The 23,266-nt window shown below is 37.1% G+C and overlaps 1 annotated feature.

Moving 5' to 3' along the window:
• Nucleotides 20,921–22,120: an enhancer, noted in NCBI's record as "BRD4-independent group 4 enhancer chr2:229685881-229687080 (GRCh37/hg19 assembly coordinates)". NCBI's record gives its function as "activates an origin of replication core promoter dependent on BRD2, P300/CBP, MED14 and CDK7 cofactors, and independent of BRD4, by STARR-seq in HCT116 cells {active_cell/tissue: HCT116}" and the evidence as "EXISTENCE:reporter gene assay evidence [ECO:0000049][PMID:35650434]".

Below are 23,266 nucleotides of genomic sequence, written 5' to 3' on the forward strand. Positions count from 1 at the left end.
GTTTCTTATTTAGCCAGTACGTAGTAGGTTGTTATTGAGTACCTTTCCATTTCTCCGCTAATGTGGTGATCCTTTGGCATCTATCAACATTCGTTGCAATTATCACGTTTTTGGGGCAGCATTATGAGTTAATGTTGTCCTCAGGCTCTCTTTTCCTGAATGCCCCCAAATCTGTTTGGTCTGGTTGACAACACCTACCTACACCTGCATGCCACAACTTTCATACTCTGAGATTCTTTGTGGTGTCCCATAACACTCTAGATCCAGCTTTTCAACTGATACTCAAGGTTATAGATGAGCTTTGCCCCTTTTAGTCTCCCACCATCCCACCACCATATCAGACCACACTGGCAAGACAAGATGAGGTTTTTCTCTCCCAAGCAACCTAGTTTTGTGATTCCTTCATCCAAGTAACCTCATTCAGTGTCCTTTATTATGTTCATGATTGCAATCTCTCCCATCTATTTATATGTTATTAGCTAGTAATGATACGTTTTTCTTTTCTCAATTCAGTCCTTAATCCCAGAGTGGGCAAATGTTACTTTGAGAGCTTGCTAGACTGTGTGACTATGTAGAATAAAACCATAGTGTTCACTATTAATTATGAATTGTATTTGTATTATGAAATGGCCCTTCAAACACTAAACATGATATATATGCTTTTCTCTATAAATGGGGTAAAATAGTCCAAATGATCATGATTATAATGGAAAACTTATTCATCTTTGTTTGATCTCACACAATTCCCAAGGTTTGCTTTGTTTAGCATTGATTCAGTGAAGTGTTATATCTAGAAATTTAGAAACTAAGATATTATTTAGGAATTATGGGAGGTTGTCATACAACGACCTTTACAACTTTTAGGTAACTCTTAAGAAACCAAATTCAGAGGTACGATTTATAGCTCCAGAAGATATCCCAGAAGACAGAAACTCATGGATCCCTTAATAATAACAGCATAAAAATTCTGGGGTAAAATTTTTGTAAAGAATGTGCTTCATCATATCTTTCCTGAGTAACACTGACTCTGGTTTCTGAGTTATATACAACATACATGAGTAAAATTTCATAAATATACATCAGCATTTTGTCCCACCCAGACTTCAACTGTTGTTTATATTCTTTGAAGATTAGATTTCTTCTAGTGAAACAGTATGGGCTATGAGTTGCCTTAAGAATTATGAACATACATCCAATAATAAGAATTCAGTAATTATGACACAAGTTACAACAATTTTAAGAATTGTTTTATCATTAATGGGCTGTAATTTAAAACAAGCTTCTCTAATCTCAAATTAGCATCACTAGTGGTCAAAACCAGTGTTTGTTGATACAGAGCTTTAAAAGTTGTATGTATCTGATTCATGTGATTAGATGTCAACGTTCCTATCAGATGATAAAATCCATGAAAACTGAAATCATGCCTTTAATTGTTTTGTTTTGTTTGGATTTGCTTTCCATAGCAGAAATCAGTTACAAGGGAGAGATATGGTGAGGACTTCATCCTCTCTTATTTTCCTTCTCAACTCATGGTGGGGCTGAGAGAGAAGCAATGGGCGTTCTTAGCTTCTGTGTGTGAACAGTTTTCCTTCCCAAAGCTGTGCTCTCCAGACCACTGCCATTTGGCAAACCAAAAAGCATGATTCAAGCTTCACCCTTACCTTTTACATTAATCTGCATTTCCTTTGAGCCTCTTTTTTCCCCATCTATGTGAATTCCAGGGGACAAGTTCATTCAAGTTCATGTCAATGTTATCAGTAAACATTAAAAAATTAATAATATGTATTATTATTTATAATAAGCTACTAATACAACTATATCCCAACCAAAATAGTTTCCTTATGCCATCAAATAAATCCATATGGTAATTTGTTTCAGTGTTAAACTTCAGTCCACTTGTCTTCTCATCCAATTGATGTTCCTTCAGCACAGGCCAAGAGTAGAGGAAAAAAAATGTAATCCATCCCCAACCTAGGAATTCAGACAGGTAAAATCTATTTCTCAGGTCAGATTTCAGACATCATTTCCACATGAACAATAACATTAAAAAAGAAAAATAAAAAGCTGTGGTCTTCTGGCTCACAGGAATATTTGGGGGAAAAGCATGGATGTTGGATGAATGTAAGAAAAATTTTAGGTGGAGTTTGCATAATTGTTAAAACAGAGCTGTATAAGATTCTGACTTATTAAATAGAAATATGTATTTTGGCCCATCTAGGAGAAATGCTTCCAAAATGAAATGCTTGATATAATAAAAGAAGAGCAATGCTATCCATATGACTATGATGTGAACTTAATCAAGAGGATAAAAGTCTCCAAATTGTAATTACAGATGAATTACTCCACGGCTTGCGATTTTCAAGAGGAATCTTGTTTCTAAATCTTGACACAGTGGGACCAAAGAAACCTATCTGTTTCTATTACTGGGAAAAAAGTGAATCTCAAAATGAAAAACAATCTGCGGCTTCAAAGAGAGAGAGCTGACAGCAAAATATTTGAATTAATTAGAGAACTACAGGTTGTTCATTGACGGGTTCTTTTTGCAGGCATATTCTGAAACATCTGTGCTTGTTTCCACGGAGATGTGGTTGGTTTATTTTGTTGTTAATATACCATATGAGCATGAAGGAAATTAGAGGAAGCTACCTGATGGAAAACTAAATTTAGACATTTCCAGACAGTCTGAGAGAAGTTACAACCTCCTGGGCCAGGCAGAGGATAGTTCAATTCCTTGATGAACTATGCCAAGTTAAATGAACATCAGCTATTTTTAGAACACTGACAGCCTTCTTAGACATGACACCAAAGAATATTAGTTTTGAGGTCCACTGGACGGCATGCTCAGGTCTGAAGAGTTCCAAAAAATAAAAATAAATTCACCCATTTCTAAATTTTAAAAAATAATAATGATTTTCCTAAAGGGGCCAGCTCTGACTCTAAACACCTTCTTTGAAAGGCTCAAGTGTCCAAGGGTTGGTTTTCTTGTATAGGATTTCTACTGTTTCTCTCAAGGCCATGTTCTCTGTTATTGTTCTCATATTTTCCCCTACAGCAGAGAGGTCCTTATGTACCATGGGTTAATATTTTTTTCCTAAATTTATTTTAGGGTGGAAAAGAGAAATAAAGAACTCTAACTGCTTCTAATTTGCTTTTGTTTCATCTTCTTTCTTCCTGTTGCAATCTCTCTTTTCACTAACTCTACCTCGTTAAGCTTTGTCCATTTGGTAGTTCTATTTTTAATTTTCCAAAAATCATCCATACTGTTTTCTGAAAGTTCTGTACCAATTTACATTTCCACCAACAGAGTACAAGGGTTCCCTTTTCTCCACACCATTGCCAACACTTACCTTTTGGCTTTTTGATAGTAGCCATTCTAACAGGCATGAGGTGATATGTCATTGTGATTTTGATTTACATTTCCCTAATGATTGATGATATTCATCATCTTTTCATGTATCTGTTGGCTATTTTTGGTCTTCTTTGTGAAAATGTCTATTCATGTCCTTTGCCCATTTTTAACTTGAGTTATTTGGGGTGTTTTTTGTTTATTTTTGTTACTTGTTTTTGCAATTAAGTTTTATGAGTTGCTTATATATTTGGGATATTAACACCTTACTGGATATATGGTTTACAAATATTTTCTTTTTTCTGTAGGTTGCCTTTTTGTTTCTTCATTGTTTCATTTGCTGTACAGAAGTTTTTAGTTTGATGTAGTCCTGTTTATTTTTGCTTTTATTTTCTGTACTTTTGAGATCAAATCTAAAAAATCATTGCCAAGACCAATGTCAAAGAGCTTTTCCTTCATGTTTTCTTCTGGGAGTGTCATGGTTTCAGGTCTTACATGTAAGTCTTTAAACCATTTTGAATTCATTTCTGTGTATGATATAAGAGAAAGATCTGATTTTAAGGTTTGCTTGTCAATATCAAGTTTTTCCAACACCATTTATTAAAGAGTCTATACTTTCCTCCATTGTATATTATTGGAACCTTTGTCAAAAATTAGTTGAGCATATATGAACGGGTTTGTTCTGGGCTATTAGGTTCCACTAGTCTATGTCAAGGCAGCCAAGATCTTTTTCCTTCACAACATTCAGAGTTGAAGGGAATGAAACATTAAGTCCTGTCATTTGGCATGTTCATTTAAATTTCAACGTATTTCAGAATTTCATAGTCTCATCGTTGGGCTATCAAGCCTACATCCCCATAACATCATTTATTTATATCATTAGCCCATATAAATCTGCTGTTCCAAGCAGAACACATTGTTAGTTCTAGAATTTTCCATGAGATGGGCAGGTACCTACAGATGCTAGACACTTTTGGGTTGTTTTACATCTAATTAGCAACAGAATTATGACACCAAATTAATTTCAGGAACTGCTCTTGAAATGCCAATATACATAAGGTTTTAAGAATTTGATACTGTGCAAGTTAGAGAAACAGATGGAACTTTCTGAACAATAGAATTCGTCTCCAAGTGACATTTAATATAAAGCAATACCTGAATTATAAATGGCTTTAAAGTTATTATCTTTGAATTGTTTTCCTTTCAAACACCTACCACGCAGGTGAAAGAAAAAAAAGTGTGTGTGTGTATGTGTAGTGTTAGTCTACATATATATATATATATAGAGAGAGAGAGAGAGAGAGAGAGTGTATATGCGTGTATGTGTATATATATATACACGGAGAGAGAGAGAGAGAGATTAAATTCTGAAATGCTATGTACTAATAAAAATTTGGAGAAGATTTTCTTGAAGGGTCATAATGGCACAATTCCATAAATAGAGCAGAAGACTGAATATACGGGAAGGAAATTTCGTTGTGTCCTAGTTTGTCCTCTCGCTGGATATAAAATATTTATTTTTAATGAATAATGATATTATTTTCCAAATACATATTAGCTAAGCCAAAAAATAAAACAACACAGAAAAGTGACATATTTAGCACTTACAATAAGCTAGGGACAATGATAGCACTTTATATTAATGGACATGTTCGGTTTTTGAATAATTCTATGAGATGTATATTATCTTTATTCTCACTTTCTAATGAGGAAACTGAAACAGCATGTGTAGCAACTTGCGTAAGAAGCTATAAATGGTAGGTAGTGTGTTCATTATTTTAAACTCATCTCCAGGGTCTACACCATAAACCACAAAATTCCACAACCTCTTGTGTAAAGGAAGAAAGAGTAGTCAGAAATTTAAATCAAGCTATCCTTGTTATTTTTACTTTACAGAGCATACATTTAATTGTATTTAACAGAAGAATAATGAATTGCAGAAAAAGTGAAGGAATTATTAAAATTAAGATATCTCTTTCTTCAACAAAGGGATAGTAATTGTTCCTGAAATTGTCCCCAAAATTAAAGTAGTGGGAGTTCATAACAGCATTAAGAAGCTGGACATGTGTTTATTATTTTAGTATACATCAATTGGCTTCTTGTTTTGAAGGCAGAGGAAACAAAAAGCTTTACTACTTCTGCTCTTTATCTTGATTATTGTTATTATTTTTGGGCTTTATAACATGTAAATTCTGTTCTGTAATCATAATATCCCAAGTGATTTAATCATAATGTTATATTTTAAAGTGATGAATGCTCATTCCCACTTTGTTTACTTCATCTTTTCTGTTCTTAATTGCTTACTTTGATGCAAGTCTTTCAACTGGAATTTGACAAACAGCAGTGATTTTTTTGTTTTTTTTTGTGAGGGGGATGATCGTTTCTCAAGGGCTCTCATGTTTATTTCTTGAATTCATGCATGCTTGTGAATCTGTTCTTTGTGTTTATACTTGAATAAAACCTTGGCTAGGTATAAAGTTCTTAGCTGTAAAATCAACCCCCCATATCTGCAGCTTCCACATATGCAGACTTACCCGTGGATCACAAATATTCAAAATAACAACAATACAACAATAAAACACAAAAATACAATATAACAACTATTTGCATAGCATTTACATTGTACTAGGTATTATAAGTAATCTAGATGACTTAAAATATATGGGAGGATGTGCATACGCTTTATGCAAATACAATGCCATTTTATATGGGACTTGAGTATCCTCATATTTTGGTGTCCACGGAGGTCCTGGAATCAATCCCCTGTGGAAACCAAGGAATGACTATTCTTTCCTCTTAGCCTTCTGCCCACAAAACTGTCAAATTTTGTTTTTTAAACATTAACTCATGTTCTTCCAGCACTGAATGTGGAGAGCGCTGAAATCAATGTTTCCTTTTTTTTTTTTTTTTTAATAGGTGATTTACTTTTCAGGCCACATGCTTAGACAATTTTTTTCTTCATTCTTGAATTTCAGAATATGTTTCATTGTTGACCATTCTGTTTCAACACTGTTTCTCCCAGACATTGTGCATTTTCAATTTGTATTTTAACAAATTTATTTTAGGAAAGTTTTCTCCCATTATATCTTTTATCTTATTTTTTCAGTTCTATTGTTCTGTCTGTATGTTGGATCACTGTGTCATATATTCATATATTCTCCAAAATAATTTCAATGTCTTTGTTCTTTATTCATTTTGTGTTTGCATTGAGAGGCCGAGAGGAAACATTTTAGTTACACTTATTCTATTTTTTGTTGCTTCTAGTGTGCAGTGTGCTTTTTTCATCTCTGTAATATTTTTTGCTTTATTCTTCCTTGGCTTTTCTGTGCACCACTAGCTTGCTTTTTGTTTTCCGGTGTTGTGATATAATCTCTTTTTTGAATCCTTGAGGCTCTTCTTTGAGCTTTCCTTAAAAAGAAAGAAAAAAGAACAACAACAATAAATCATATCACCTGTAGTTACTTTGGAACTATTAAATACCATTTTTCATCTGACTTTTGCTTATGTTTCTTTTCTTTGAATTTTTTCCCCAGTATCTATGCATAGGTCCTATGCTGATTCCTTCTACGTTATGAACAGGAGAATTAAGCTGGAAGAGCCTGCAGCTTTTACTGGGCTCCATCCCTTTATTTTGAGCCTATGTGTGTCTTTGCACATGAGATGGGTCTCCTAAATCGAGCACACTGATGGGTCTTGACTCTTTAACCAATTTGCCAGTCTGTGTCTTTTGAGGGCATTTAGCCCATTTACATTTAGGGTTAGTATTGTTACGTGTGAATTTGATGCTGTCATCATGTCGCTAGATGGTTATTTTGCACACTAGTTGATGCAGTTTCTTCATAGTGTCATCGGTCTTTGTATTTTGCTGTATTTTTGCAGTGGCTGGTACCAGTTTTTCCTTTCCATATTTAGTGCTTTCTTCAGGAACTCTTGCAAGTCAGCCCTGGTGGTGATGAAAACCCTTAGCATTTGCTTGTCTGGAAAGGATTTTATTTATCCTTCACTTATGAAGCTTAGTTTGACTGGATTGAAATTCTTGGTAGAAAATTCTTTTCTTTAAGAATGTGAATATTGGCCCCCACTCTCTTCTGGCTCATAGGGTTTCTGCTGAGGGATCAGAAGTTGGTCTGATGGGCTTCCCTTTGTAGGTGGCCTGACCTTTCTCTCTGGCTGCTCTTAACACTTTTTCCTTCATTTTGACCTTGGAGAATCTGATGATTATGTGTCTTTGGGTTGATCTTCTCATGGAGTATCTTACTGGTGTTCTCTGTATTTCCTGAATTTCAATGCTGGTCTATCTTGCTAGGTTGGGGAATTTCTCCTGGATAATATCCTGAAGTGTGTTTTCCAACTTGGTTCCATTCTTCCCATCACTTAACCAATCGTGGATTTGGTCTTTTCACATAGTCCCATATTTCTTGGAGGCTTTGTTCATTCCTTATCATTCTAATTTTTCTCTAATCTTGTCTGTATGCCTTATTTCAGCAAGGTGGTCTTCAATCTCTGATATCTTTTCTTCCATTTGATTGATTCGGCTATTCACGGTGTTCTTGTGCTCTGTTTTTCAGTTCCATCAGGTCATTTATGTTCCTCTCTAAACTAATTTTTCTAGTTATCAGTTCCTGTAACCTTTTATCAAGGTTCTTAGCTTCCTTGCTTTGGGTTAGAACATGATCCTTTAGCTCAGAGGAGTTTTTTATTACCTATCTTCTGAATCCTACTTCTGTCAATTCTTCAATCTCATTCTCTGTCCAATTTTGCACCCTTGCTGGAGAGGTGTTGCAATCATTTGAAAGAGGAGAGGCATTCTGGCTTTTGGAATTTTCATTGTTTTTGCACTGGTTTTTCCTCATCTTCATGGATTTCTCTACCTTTGACCTTTGAGGGTGGTGACCTTTGGATGGGGATTTGTGGTGGGGGTGTGGGGGTTGTTGATGTTTTGTTGTTGTTGCTTTCTGTTTGTTAGTTTGTCTTCTAACAGTCAAGCCCCCTTTTCTGCAGGTCTGCTGCAGTTTGCTGGAGGTCCACTCCAGACCCTCTTTGCCTGGGTATCAACAGTGGAGGCTACAGTACAGCAGAGATTGCTGCCTGCTTCTTCCTCTGAAAGCTTCATTCCAGAGGGGCACCAGCCTGATGCCAGCTGGAGCTCTCCTGTATGAGATGTCTGTCGAACCCTGTTGGGAGGTCTCTATCAGTCAAGAGGCATGGGGGTCAGGGACCCACTTGAGGAGGGAGTCTGTCCCTTATTAGAGCTGGTGCACTGTGCTGGGAGAATCCCCTGTCAGGATCAGCCCCTGTCTTCAGAGCCAGCAGGCAGGAAAAATTAAGTCTGCTGAAGCTGCGCCCACAGCTGCCCCTCCCCACAGGCCCTCTGTCCTAGGGAGATGAGAGTTTTATCTGTAAGCCCCTGACTAGAGCAGCTGCCTTTTCTGCAGAGATTCCCTGGCCAGTGAGGAGAAATCTAAAGAAGCAGTCTGTCCACAGATGCTTTGCCATGTTGTGGTGAATTTTGCCCAGTCCAAACCTCCCAGTTTCCTTAGCAATGTCTTGGGGAAATCGCCCACTAAAGCCACAGTAATGGTGGTCACCCCTCCCCCAATCAAGCTTGATACTCTTAGGTCAACCCCAGACTGCTGTGCTGGCAGTAAGAATTTCAAGTCAGTAGTTCTTAGCTTGCTGGGCTCCATGGGAGTGGGACCTACTGAGCGAGACCGCTTTGCTCTCTGACTTTAGCCCCCTTTTCAGGGGAGTGGATGGTTGTCCTGTCTCACTGGAGTTCCAGGCGCCACTGGAGTGTGAAAAAACTCCTGCAGCTCGGTGCCTGCCCCAACAACCGCCCAGTCTTTTGCTTGAAACCCAGGGCCCTGGTGGTGTTGGCTCATGAGGGAATCTCTTGATCCCTGGATTGCAAAAATCCGTGGGAAAAGGGTAGTACCCGGGTGGGTAGCATAGTCCCTCACTGCTTCCCTTGGGTGGGAGAGGGAGGTCCCCCAGCTCCGTGCACTTCCCAGTGAAGCAATGCCCCACCCTGTTTCTGCTTGCTCTTCATGGGTTGCACCCACTGCCTAACCAGTCTCAGTGAGATGAGCTGGGTGCCTCAGTTGGAAATCACCCACCTTCTGCATTGGTCTCACTGGGAGCTGCAGACCAGAACTCTTTCTGTTTGGCCGTCTTGGTCCCTCCCCCTTTTAGTTAATTTTAAATGTATAGTTAAATTATTGACGATAGTCACCCTGTTGTGTTACCAAATGGTAGGTCTTATTCTTTTTTTTTAATGCTTATCAACCATCTTCTTCTCCCCTTCCACGCCCCCCAAACTTCCCCTTCACTATCCTTACCAGCCTCTGATAACCATTTTTCTACTCTCTGTGTCCATGAGTTCAATTGTTTTGATTTTTAGATCCCACAAATAAGTAAGAACATACAATGTTTGCCTTTTTATGCCTGGCTTATTTCACTTAACATAATGATCTTTAGTTCCATCCATATTATTGCAAATGACACGATCTCATTATTTTTTATGGCTGAAGAGTACACCATGTGTATAAGTACCACATTTTCTTCATCCATTCATCTGTTGATGGATGCTTAGTTTGCTTCCAAATCCTGGCTATTGCCAACAGTGCTGCAACAACCATAGGAGTGCAGATATCTCTTTGATACACTGACTTCACTCTTTTGGGTATACACCCAGCAGGGGGATTGCTAGAACATATGGTAGCTTAATTTTTAGTTTTTTTGGGAACCTCCAAACTGTTCTCCATAGTGGTTGTACTAATTTACATTCACACCAACTGTGTAGCAGAGTTCCCTTTTCTCTGCATTTTCATCAGCATTCACTATGGCCTGTTGTATTAGTCTGTTTTCACACTGCTGATAAAGACATATTCAATTTACATAGGCAGTGTACAAAATAAAGAGGTTTAATGGTTAATTAAACTTACCCGTGGCTGGGGAGGCCTCACAATCATGGTGGAAGGTGAAACGGATGTCTCACATGGCAGCAAAGAGAAGAGAGCTTGTGCAGGGAAACTCCCATTTTTAAAACCATTAGATCTCGTGAGACTTATTTACTATCACAAGAACAGCATGGGAAAGACCTGCCCCCATGATTCAATTACCTTCCAACAGATAAGATTTGGGTGGGGACACAGCCAAACCATACCAGCTGTCTTTTGGATATAAACTGTTTTAACTGGTTTGAGATGATATCCCATTGTAATTTTCATTTGCATGTCTTTCATGATCAATGATGTTGAGCACCTTTTCAAGTGCCTGTTTTCCATTTGTATATCCTCTTTTGAGAAATGTCTTTTCAAATCTTTACCCATTTTTAAAAATCAGATTATTAGATTTTTTGTCCTATAGAGTTGTTTGAGCTCCTTATATATTCTGGTTATTAATCTTTTGTCAGATGGTTAGTATGCAAATATTTTCTCCCATTCTGTGTATTGTTTCTTCATTTTGTTAATTGTTTCTTTTGCTGTGTAGAAGCTTTGTAACCTGATGTAATCCCATCTGTCCATTTTTACTTTGGCTGCTTGTGGGGTATTGCTCAAGAAATTTTTGCCCAAATCAAAGCCCTAGAGATTTTCTCCAATGTTTTTCTATAGTAGTTTCATAGCTGAAGAACTTAAAGTCTTTAATCCATTTTGATTTGATTTTTTAATATGGCAAGAGATAGGGGTCTAGTTTCATTCTTCTGCATATGGATACCCAATTTTCCCAGCACCATTTATTGAAGAGACTATCTTTTCTCCAGGGTATATTCTTGGCACGTTTGTTGAAACATGAGTTCATTGTAGGTGTGTGAATTTGTTTTGAGGTTCCCTAATCTGTTGCATTAGTCTATGTCTCTTTTAAAACCAGTGTCATGTTGTTTTGGCTACTATAGCTCTGTAGTATAATTTGAAGACAGGTAATGTGACTCCTTCAGCTTAGTTTTCCTTAGGATAGCTGTAGTTACTCTGGGTCTTTTGTGGTTCTATATAAATTTTAGGGTTTTTTTTCTATTTATGTGTAGAAGGTAATTGGTATTTTGATAGGGATTGAATTGAATCTGAAGATTGCTTTGGGTAGTAAAACATCTTAACAATATTGATTCTTCCAATTCATGAACATGGACAATCTTTCCATTTTTTTGTGTCCCCTTCAATCTCTCATTAGTGTTTTATAGTTTTCATTATAGAGATCTTTATCTTCTTCAGTTAAGTTAGTTGTTAGGTATTTAATTTTGTTGGTGGTTATTGTAAATGATACTACTTTTTAAAAATTTTGTTAAAAAGTGTTCACTTTTGGCAAATAGAAATGCCACTAATTTTTTTGTATGTTGATTTTGTATGCTACAACTTCACTGAATTTGTTTATCAGTTATAATAGTTTATTTGTGAAATCTTTAGGTTTTTCCTAGTATAAAATTATATAACCTGCAGACAAGGATAATTTGACTTCTTTCTTTCCAATTTGGATGTACTTTATTTCTTTCTCTTTTCTGATTGCTCTAGTTAGGGCTTTGAGTATTGTGTTGAATAACAGTGGTGAAAGTGGGGATCCTTGTCATGTTCCAGATCTTTGAGAAAAGACTTTCAGTTCTTCCCTATTCAGTATGATACTAGCTTTGGATATATCTTATACAGCTTTTATTATGTTAAGGTACATTCCATCTATTCACAGTTTTTTGAGAATTATTATTATGAAGGGATGTTGAATTTTATCACATACTTTTTCAACATCAATTGAAATGATCATATAGTTTGTATCTTTCATTCTGTTGATGTGAGGTATCACAGTGAATGATTTGCACTTGTTGAATCATTCTTGTATCCTGGATATACATTCCATTTGGTCATGATGCATGATTTTTTTAGTGTATCACTGAATTCATTTTGCAAGTATTTTGTTAAGAATTTTTGCATCAGTATTTATCAGAGATACTGGCCTGTAGTTGTCTTTATTTTTGATACGTTTTTGGTTTTGGTATCAGGGTAATGCTGGCCTTGTAGAATGAGTTTGGAAATAATCCCTCTGCTTCTGTTTTTTCAGAACAGTTTGAGTATGATTGGTATTAGTTTTTCTTTAAATGTTTGGTAGAATTCAGCAGTGAAGCCATCAGGTCCCAGGCTTTTCTTTACTGGGAGAATTTTTATTATTGGCTTAAATCTCATTATTTATTATTAGTCTGTTCAGGTTTTGGATTTCTTCCTAGTTCAATCTTGGTAGGTTGTATGTTTCCAAGAAGTTTTCCATTTCTTCTAGATTTTCCAATTTATTGGCATATGGTTGCTCATAGCAGCCACTAACAATCCTTTGAATTTCTGCAGTATCAGTTGTAGTGTCTACTTTTTCATCTCTGATTTTATTTATTTGGATCTTCTCTCTTTTTTTCTTAGTCAGTCTGGCTAAAGGTTTTCCAATTTTGTTTAACTTTCGAAAAACCAACTTTTTGTTTCATTGATCTTTTGGATTGTTTTCTTCATTTCAATTTTATTTATTTCTTCTCCAATCTTTATTATTTCTTTTCTTCTACTAAGTTTGGATTTAGTTTGCTCTTGCTCTTCTCTTTCTTTAAGATGCATTGTTAGGTTGTTTATTTGAAGTTGTTCTTCTTTTTTGATGTAGGCACTTATAGCTGTAAACTTCCTTCTTTGTACTGCTTTTGCTGTATCTCATATATTTTGGTATGTGTGTTTCCATTATCATTTGTTTCAAGAAATTTTTCAATGTTCTTAATTTATTCATTGACCCACTGGTCATTCAGGAGCATATTGCTTAATCTTCATATGTTTCTGTAGTTTCCAAAATCACTTTTGTTGCTGGTTTCTAGTTTTAGTCCATTGTGGTCAGATAAAATGCTTGATAATATTTTAATTTTTTAAATGTCTTAAGACCTGTTTTTTGACCTAATATATGGTCTATCCTTCAGAATGACTCATGCTGAGGAGAATAATGTGTATTCTGCAACCATTGGATGAAATGTTTTGTAAATATCTATTTTGTCCATTTTGTCTATAGTGCAGATTAAGTCCAATTATTTTTGTTAATTTTATGCCTGGAAGATCTGCTCGGTGGGGTGTTGAAGTCTCCAGCTATTATTGTATTGGAGTCTATCTCTCTCTTTAGCTCTAAGAATATTTTCTTTATATATCTGTGTGCCCCAGTGTTGGGTACATATATATTTAAAATTGTTATGTCCTCTTGCTGACTTGACCTCTTTATCACTATATAGTGACCTTTATTGTCTCTTCTTATGGTTTTTGTCTTGAAATCTATTGTATCTCATAGAAGTATAGCTACTGCTGCCCTTTTTTCATTTTAATTGGCATGAAATATCTTTTCCATCTGTTTATTTTCAGTCTATATGTGTCTTTATGGGTGAGGTGTGTTTCTTGTAGGCAATAAATCAATGTTTCTTTTTTTAAAATCAATTCAGAATTCTATGTCTTTTTTAAAAATAAGTAATCCTGTATTTTTTAAAACTTTTTATTTCCATAGGTTTTTGGGGAGCAGCTCATATTTGGTTACAAGAATAAGTTCTTTAGTGATTTGTGAGACTTCGGTGCACCCATCATGCAGTATACACTGAATGTTTGGTTTTCCATTCCTGAGTTACTTTACTTAGAATAATAGTCTCTAATTACAACAAGGTTGCTGTGAATGCCATTAATTCATTATTTTTAATGGCTAAGTTGTATTCCCTAATATATACCACAGTTTTATTTTATCCATTCATTGATTGATGGGCATTTGGGCTGGCTTAACATACACAAGTCAATAAATGTGGTACACCACATAAACAGAATTAAAAACAATCTGCATCTGCAGAAAAGCATTTGACAATATTAAGCATCCCTTTACTATTGAAACCCTCAGCAAAACTGGCATACAAGGGACATACCTCAATGTAATAAAAACCGTCTATGACATCTGTGTCATCTATGACAAACCCACGCATAATACTGAATGGGGAAAAGTTGAAATAATTCCCTCTGAGAACTGAAACAAGACAAAGGTGCCCACTCTCACCACTTTTATTCAACATAGTACTGGAAGTCCTAACCAGAGCAATCAGACAAGAGAAAGAAATAAAGGGCATTCAAATCAGTAAATAAAAGTCAAACTTTTGCTGTTTGCTGATGATATGATTGTACACCTAGAAAACCCTAAAGACTCCCCCCCAAAACTCCTAGAACTGATAAAAGAATTCAGCAAAGTTTCAGGAAACAAAACTGATGTACACAAATCAGTAGCTCTGCTATACACCAGCAGTGACCAAGCTGAGAATCAAATCAAGAACTCAACCAATTTTTCAATAGCTGCAACAAAATTAAAATACTTAGGAATAAACCTAACCAACGAGATGAAAGACCTCTACAAGGAAAACTACAAAACACTGCTGAAAGAAATCATAGATGACGCAAACAAATGGAAACACATCCCATGTTCATGGATGGGTAGAATCAATATTGTGAAAATGACCATACTGCCAAAAGCTATCTACAAATTCAATGTAATTCCCATTAAAATATCACCATCATTCTTCTCAGAACTATTAAAAGTAATTCTAAAATTCATATGGAACCAAAAAAGAGCCCAAACAGCCAAAGCAAGACTAAGCAAAAAGAACAAATCTGGGGGCATCACATTACCAGATTTCAAACTATACTATAAGGCCATAGTCACCAAAACAGCATAGACCTGGTATAAAAATAGGCACACAGACCAACGGAATCCAGAAATAAATCCAAATGCCTACAGCTAACTGATTTTCGATGAAGAAACAAAAACATAAAGTAGGGAAAGGACACTCTGTTCACTAATCACAGAAATAAAATCACTAATCGTCAGGGAAATGCAAATTAAAACCACAATGTGATACCACCTTACTTCTGCAAGAATGGCCCTAATCAAAAAATAAAATAAAATAAAATAGATGTTGGCATAGATATGTTGAAAAGGGAACACTGCTATACTGCTGGTGGGAATGTAAAATAATACAACTACTATGGAAAATAGTGTGGAGATTCCTTAAAGAAGTAAAGATAGAACTACCATTTGATCCAGTAATCCCACTACTGAGTCCCACCCAGAGGAAAAGAAGTCATTATATGAAAAAACATACTTGCACATGCATGTTTATAGCACAATTTGCAATTCCACTCTATTTATTTTGATTGAAAGAGTTTAGTCTGTTGACATTCAATGTTATTATTGATAAGTTAGGACTTACTCCTGTCATTTTGTTATCTCTTTTCTGGTTGTTTTGTTGTCTTCTCTTCCTTCTTTCTTTCTTTCTGCCTTCCTTTTAGTCAATGTGATTTTCTCACATGATATGATTTAGTTTCTTGATTTTTTTATATTAATTGTATTTTTTTGGTTTGAGGTTAGCATGAGTATTGCAAATGCTATCTTATAACCTATTATTTTAACCTGAAAACAACTTAAAGCTGTTTGTATAAACAAACAAGCAAAAGGAAAACTAATAAAAACTCTACACCTTAACTTTTCCCCCACTTTTTAACTTTTTGTTGTTTTTATTTATATCTTATTGTACTGCCTATTTCTTGAAAAGTTGTTGTAGTTACTATTTTTGTTTGGTTCATTGTTTAATTTTTACACTTAGGATAACAGTAGTCTACACATCACTGTTACAATGTTATATAATTCTGTTTGTCTTTGTACCTACTATTACCAGTGAGTTTTGTAGTTTCAAGTGATTACTTATTGCTCATTAACATCCTATCCTTTCTGATTTAAGTACTCCCTTTGACATTTCTTTCAGGACATGTCTGATGTTGATAAAATTCCTCAACTTTTATTTGTCTGGGAAAATCTTTATTTCTACTTCGTGTTTGAAGAATATGTCCATTGAATATACTATGCTAGGGTAACGGTTTTATTTTCTCCCTTCAGAACTTTAAATATGTCATGCTACTCTCTCCTGGCCTGGAAAGCTTCCACTCAAAAACCTGCTGCCAGATGTACTGGAGCTCCATTATAACTTATTTGCTTCTTTTCTCTTGATGTGCTCAGGATTCTTTCTTTATCCTTGATCTTTGGGAGTTTGATTATTAAATGCCTTGAGGTAGTCTTTGGGTTAAATCTCCATGTGTTCTATAACCTTCTTGTACTTGATTATTTATATCTTTCTCTAGGTTTGAAAAGTTCTGTTATTATCCCTTTGAATAAACTTTCTACCTCTGTCTTTTTCTCTACCTCCTCTTTAAAGCCGATAACTTTTAGATTTGCCCTTTTGAGGCTATTTTCTACATTCTGGAGGCATGCTTCATTCTTTTTTAGTCTCTTCTCATTGTGGATTTTCAAACCACCTGTCTTCAAGCTCAGTAATTCTTTCTTCGGCTTGATCAATTTTGCCATTAAAAGACTTTGATACTTTCTTCAGTATGCCAGTTTCTTTTTCAGCTCCAGAATTATTGCTTGATTCTTTTCAATTATTTCAAAGTCTTTGTTAAATTTATTTAGAAGAATTCTGAATTTCTTCTCTGCATTATCTTGAATTTCTTTGAGTTTCCTAAAAATAGCTATTTTGAGTTCTCTCTATGAAAGCTCACATACCTCTTTTTCTCCAGGATTGGGCCTTGGTGGCTTACTTAGTTCATTCAGTGAAGTCATGTTTTTCTGGATTGTCTTGATACTTGTAGATGTTCATCTGTGTTTGGACATTGAAGAGTTAGGTATTTATTGTTGTCATCACAGTCTGGGCATTTTTGTACTAATTCTTCTTGGGAAGGCTTTCCAGATATTCGAAAGGACTTGGGTGTTGTTATCCAAGCTGTATCTGCTTTAGGGGGCACCCCAAGCCCAGTTACATCGTGGTTCTTTTAGACTCATAGAGGTACTGCCTTGATGGTCTTAGATAAGATCTGGGAGAATTCTCTGTATTACCAGAGACTCTTGTTCTCTTCCCTTACTTTCTCCAAAACAAAAAGAGTCTCTCTATGCATTTTGGACCACCTGAAGCTGGGGGTGGAGTGACACCAGCACCCCTGTGGCTACCACCACTGTGACTGTACTAGGTCAGTCTTGAAGCTAGCACAACACTGGGTCTCACCCAAGGCCTGCTGTAACCACTCCCTGGCTACTTCCTCTGTTTACTCAAGGCCCTGGAGCTCTACAATCAGCAGGTGGTTAAGCCAACCAGGCCTATGCTTTCCCTCCCGGGTGGCTATATCCCCCAGGTCCCAGGCAGGTCCAGAGGTGCTGGGAGCCAGGGACTTAGCTAAAAAATCTTAGAAGTCTACCTGGTGCTCTATTGTACTGTAGCTGAGCAGGCACTCAATCCACAAAACACAGTCTTTCCCACTCTTCCCTCTCCTTTCTAAAGGCAGAGGAGCCTCACCCCATGGCCTCCACTACCACAGGCCCACAAGGAGTACTACCAGACTACCATTTATTTTGCCTTGAGACCCAAGGGCTCTTCAGTCAGCTTGTGATTAATGCTGCTTGGCCTGGGACTAGGCCTTCAGGGCAATGGGCTTCCCTCTGGCCCAGGGCAGGTCCAGAAATGCTGTCCAAAACCAAGTCCTGGAATCAGGGTACCCAAGTCCCTACTTGGTACGCTACCCTGGTATGGTTGGGCTGGTACCTAAGATGCAAGTCAAAGTGCCCTTTACTTTTCCCTCTGCTTTTCTCAAGCAAAAGAAGTCTCACCCTGAAGCCACAACAGTTGAAAATGTGCTAAGTCTCACTTGAAGCTAGCACAACTCAAGGTTTTACCAAAGGCCCTCAACGTAGTACTTGGGTATCACTGCTGGTTATTCGGGCCCAACGACTCTTCAGTTAGTAGGTGATGAATGCTGCCAGAATTGGGTTCTTCCCTTCAAGGCAGTGGTTTCCCTTCTGGTCCAAGGGGTGTGTAGAAATGTCATCTGGGAGCTAGGGCTTCGAAAGGGGGCCTCACGACTCTGACCAGTGCTCTATTCTGCTGTTGGCTGAGCTGGTATCCAAGATGCAAGGCAAAGTCCTCCCCACTCTTCCCTCTCCTCTCCTCAGGCAGAAGGAAATGGTATCTTTTGGAGCTGTGAGCTGTGCAGCCTGTGGTTAGGAGAGGGGTGACGCCAGCATTCCTTTTGCCACCTCTGCTGGTGTCTCAGTAGGTTGTGTGCCATCCCTACAGTCTACTAGCTGTGGGCCCAGTTCAGTACTAGGACTTGCCTAAAAATTTCAGTCTTTATGGACCTAGTCCATCTGTCAATTTTATTTAGAGCGCCAAAGCACTTTAGCCTGAGGTGGCAAGGCTTGTGGGAACTAAGTTCCGACAGCTGGGATCAGTGATTCCCCTCTGATTTGAGTTAATTTAAATACTCCCTCCATGGGCAGGTGTCAGCTGAGTTTGGTCTGGTTTTCCTTTCTGCTCTAACAGGACAGCACTGAGTTCAATGCCTCACAATTGCTGCATGCCCCTCCATATTCCAGCACACAGAAATGCTCTCTGTGCCACACTGCCACTGCTGGGGTTTAGGGGTAAGGTGGTATCAGCAATTCAAGACTGATTTTTCTACATCTTCAGTGCCTCTTTCAGTGATATGAAGTTAAAAGCAAGTACTCTTAGTGGTCACCTGATTTTTGGTTCTTCTGGAGGTGCATTTTTTTGTGTGTAAATAGTTGTTAAATTACTGTCCTTGTTGAGGGGGTTGATTGGTGGAGACTTCTATTCTGCCGTCTTGTTCTGCTTACCTCCAAATTCTAAATAATGTTTAAATAACAGACCAACATATGCAATCTTTGAATTATTTTCAAAATTGAGATTACTGATTTATACCTACAGTTAAATTTACAGTTTGGTTTTATAAACATGGGCTACTTTCTTATCTTCCATGCCACATAGCACTTTTAATCAGTGTTTGACAAGGAAGACATGTACCTATGCATCTGCCACAGAAAATTTGTGGTTCACATGTCTTTAAGAATGTTTCATGAAACCTTTTCTAACACTGTATTATCTTCATCAATTGTTTTACTTATGATAATTCCACATAGATATTAATCTCCTTATTCAACCCCCAAAGTATACATGCAAAACTTATAAATTGTAATTTTTTCTAAATTTAGAAACATAGTAGAAGCCACTTCTAAGAAATGATAAAGAAGTTGTACTGAGAGCACTAATTAGGAACACTGGGAGGTCATTTTGAGTCTTTTACATCAGACAAGTAGAATACATTAAAATTAATGTGATAGAAAATACTCACTGGTATGTCACCCATTAACTCATTCGGAACACACTAAACTAAACCCCCCTGGCTCTTTCAGCCCTTGCTTCAGGAAGGGTAGGCACTTAGGAGGAAGAATGCCTCACTTCCTGGGCCTTCCAAAGACCTGAAGTCACAGCCTGGTCATCAGACACCATCTGCTCCTTCTAACTGCCTCTGACTTCCGGCTTTCAATCTGAGGTGAGCGCATGCTAGAGGCAGCAGGTTCATTATGGGACAGCATGGCTTCTTCTGTTTTATGGGAAGTAATCATCATTAAGTTGGTTATGAAATGTTCATCAAGTATGTCTTTTGGTTTTGTAGCAAAAACAACTCAATCAAGAAAGCTTTCTAGTAATTTAAGAGGGCTAAGTCTATAGTAAAACTTCCTTTTACTTGTTTTTTTTAATAAACACTTTATTTTAGAAAAGCTTTATATTTATAGAAAAATTGAGGAGATTGTAGAGTTCCTATATACCACACACACAGTTCTATTATTAATATTTTACATTTGTCACAATTAATAAATGAATATGGGTATTTATTAACTTTTTTCAGTTTCCTTAGTGTTTAACCTCATCCTTTTTCTGTTCCAGGATCCCTTCTGGAATATCATATTACATTTAGTCATCATGTCTCCTTAGGATCTTCTTGACTCTGACAGTTTCTCATAGTCTCTGTTTTTTATGACAGTTTTTTGACAGTTTTGAGTGGTACTGGTCATGTGTTTTGTAGAATTACCCTCAGTTGGGATGTGTCTGATGCTTTTCTCATAGTTAGATAGTGGTTTGGATTTTGGAGAGTACGACCATGGAGGTAAAGTGCCATCTCATGACTTCATGTCAAGGGTATACAATGTCAACATGTCTTATTATTGTTGATGTTGACCTTGATCACCTGGCTGAACTCATATTTGTCAGATTTCTCCACTGTCAAGTGACTCTTTTAGCCCCCTTCCATATTGTCCTCTTTGAAAGGCAGTCACTATGTGCAGCCCACATTTAAGGAGGGGAGAGTTATCCTCCACCTTCCTGAGGACAGATATTGTGTCAGTGTTCTCATGCTGCTAATAAAACATACCCAAGACTGGGTCATTCATAAAGGAAAAACGTTTAATGGACTCACAGTTCAGCATGGCTGGGGAAGGCTCATAACCATGGTGGAAGGCAAAGGAGAAGCAAAAGCATGTCCTACATGGCAACAGACAGGAGGGCTTGTGCAGGGGATCTCCCATTTATAAAACCATCAGCTCTTGTAAGACTTATTCACTACCACAAGAACAGTATGGAGGAAACTGCCCCCATGATTCAATTATGTCCACCTGACCCTACCCTTGATTTGTGGGGATTATTACAATTCAATGTGTGATTTGGGTAGGGATACAGCCAAACCATATCAGATATTTATTTACATTATTTGCAAATCATCTCCTTGGGAGATTCATTTTTGTTTTAATCTACAATTTTCAATTAATACTTAAAAGGGAAGTAAGACAGTTTAGGGAGGAGACTCGGTCCTGGCAGACAAGAGACATTGTAATTAGGATGCCAGTGAGCCTCACATGTCTGGGCATATCACCTCCCCTACCTTGTCTCCCTCAACAAGCTGACTCAAATCAGTAGCAGAAATGGGGACCCCTCCTAACCTAGAAGACCAGGCAAAATTCCTAACCATAAAAGGAAGAACCTAACCATTTATCTCCTTGTGTAATGTCTTCCAAGGTTGCTAACGTGCGACTCTGCCATTCCTGATAAGAACCTCACGAGATCCAGCTGGTTGGCAACAAGATGGACTTCAGTGCTGACCTTTCACTGACTTTTCTGTAACCTTTCATTGACTTTTTTCTCATTATAATCTCATTGTAATACTAAAATCTCTGCCCAAGGCAGGTCCTATCTGCCATTTTCTGTACATGCAACGCATGTTAGGGCATGATAGTTCCTATGCAGGTGCAAAGAAGACCCTGCCTAAACATGTCTACATGTCTCTCCTTTTTTCCACCTCAACTTACTTAAAAGGACAAGATCTGAGCCCCTCGGTGGGGAGCTGGCATCAGGACTCTCCCTGTACTCTGTTCCTTTGTGTAGCTTGAACCACAGGCTTATTATACCTTGCCTTCCTGTTCACCCTGGGGTCAATTTCTATTACCCAAGAGCCATCAGAAGTAGAAGGTGACTTCAAGCTGGAGTCACTATATATCATAAACTGCCTATTATTGTTTACTACCTCAATGTTTAAAATTTCCCCCATTCCTGGAAGATTGAGGCTGCAACAGTGTTCCTGGGGGTCTGAGTTGACTCCTGAGAAGCATGCATCCTCTTTATTAGTTTCCTGTCCATTTGCTCATCCTTTGATAGTGAGTCAATGAGGAGGCTCTTTGGAATGTTGTAATTTTCTTTATGTTTCCATTTTCAATTTTTCAATTTTCTACAGTAGAGTATAAAATGTTATTAGTCCACAGCTTGTTCAGATTGAAAACATACTTATTCATAATTAGGTTATATACTTGCCAAAGTCTATTAAGAAACTTTCAAAGATAGGTGGACCTGGGAAAGACTCTTGATGTCTTTGGACCTCAATTCTCCATCTCAAAATGGAACTCATAATAGTAATTTATAAGGTTAGCATAAGGCTTAGTGTAGGTAATTTATGTAAAGTGCCTGTTGCAAATCAATAAATAGTACATGTTACTATAAAGCAAGACATTTTAAAATTATTTTTGTGTCTTTTTACTGGAATTCAAATTTTTTTAAGACAGGATCTCACCTGTTCCCCAGGCTGGAGTACAGTGGTGTGATCATGGCTCACTGCAGCCTCAACCTCCTGGGCTCAAGAGATCTTCCCACATCAACTCTCCAAGTAGCTGGTACTACAGATGTGCACCACCATGATTGGCTAATTTTTTTTTTTTCGTAATTTTAGTAGAGATAAGGTATCACTCTGTGGATTATAGGCATGAGCCACTGTGCATGGCCCCTGAGCAAAATTTTCAATGCTATACTTTCCATAAATTTTTATGGAGTGTTTTTGTATGCCACGTCTTGTGTTATACTGGGGACGTGAAGAGGAAACAAGGGCTCCTTTCCCAGGGGCATCAACCTTGTGGCAGCTCAGTTCAGATGATAAACTCTCCATTAACATGGGTCCAACACAATACTCTAGAAGTAATAACTATGCTTACTACATCTCTATATATTGTTCCCAAACATTTCTATGAAATCAAAAACAAAGAACATAAAATAACTTTTTTATTAAAAAAAGAATTTTATATTACTCTTTAAAAAAAGGAAGAGGAACAAAATTTTCAATTCACATACAAATAAATAAGTCGATTAGGGATTAAAGAAAATGCTTTTTGTTTTCCTAGCAGAGGAACCTAATAGAGAATTTATTATAAAGTTTAAATGCTTTGAAATGTGACCTGCAGGATAAGTACTGAAAGAGGCTAGATTTCTTTTCAGTGTGAACTCAAACCATCATTGCCTCAGGCCTTTCTTCAGAGCTTCAAAGTTCTGCAAGTCACTATCACATCTTAATAATTTTTGATAAAAGTCTAACTGCTCAGCCTCAGGTTCAGAATCAGGAGAAAGAAACTCCTGTCAGTCTTTCAGCACTGAAACACAATAAAGCAAGCACAAGCAATCTGTGGGGAAGCTCTGTGAACAGACACCCAAAAACTTCTCCCTTCCTTCCTCCCCCAACTTTTCTCTTG

This window comes from Homo sapiens, chromosome 2 (genome assembly GCF_000001405.40).
Source record: "Homo sapiens chromosome 2, GRCh38.p14 Primary Assembly".
NCBI classification, from domain to species: domain Eukaryota; kingdom Metazoa; phylum Chordata; class Mammalia; order Primates; family Hominidae; genus Homo; species Homo sapiens.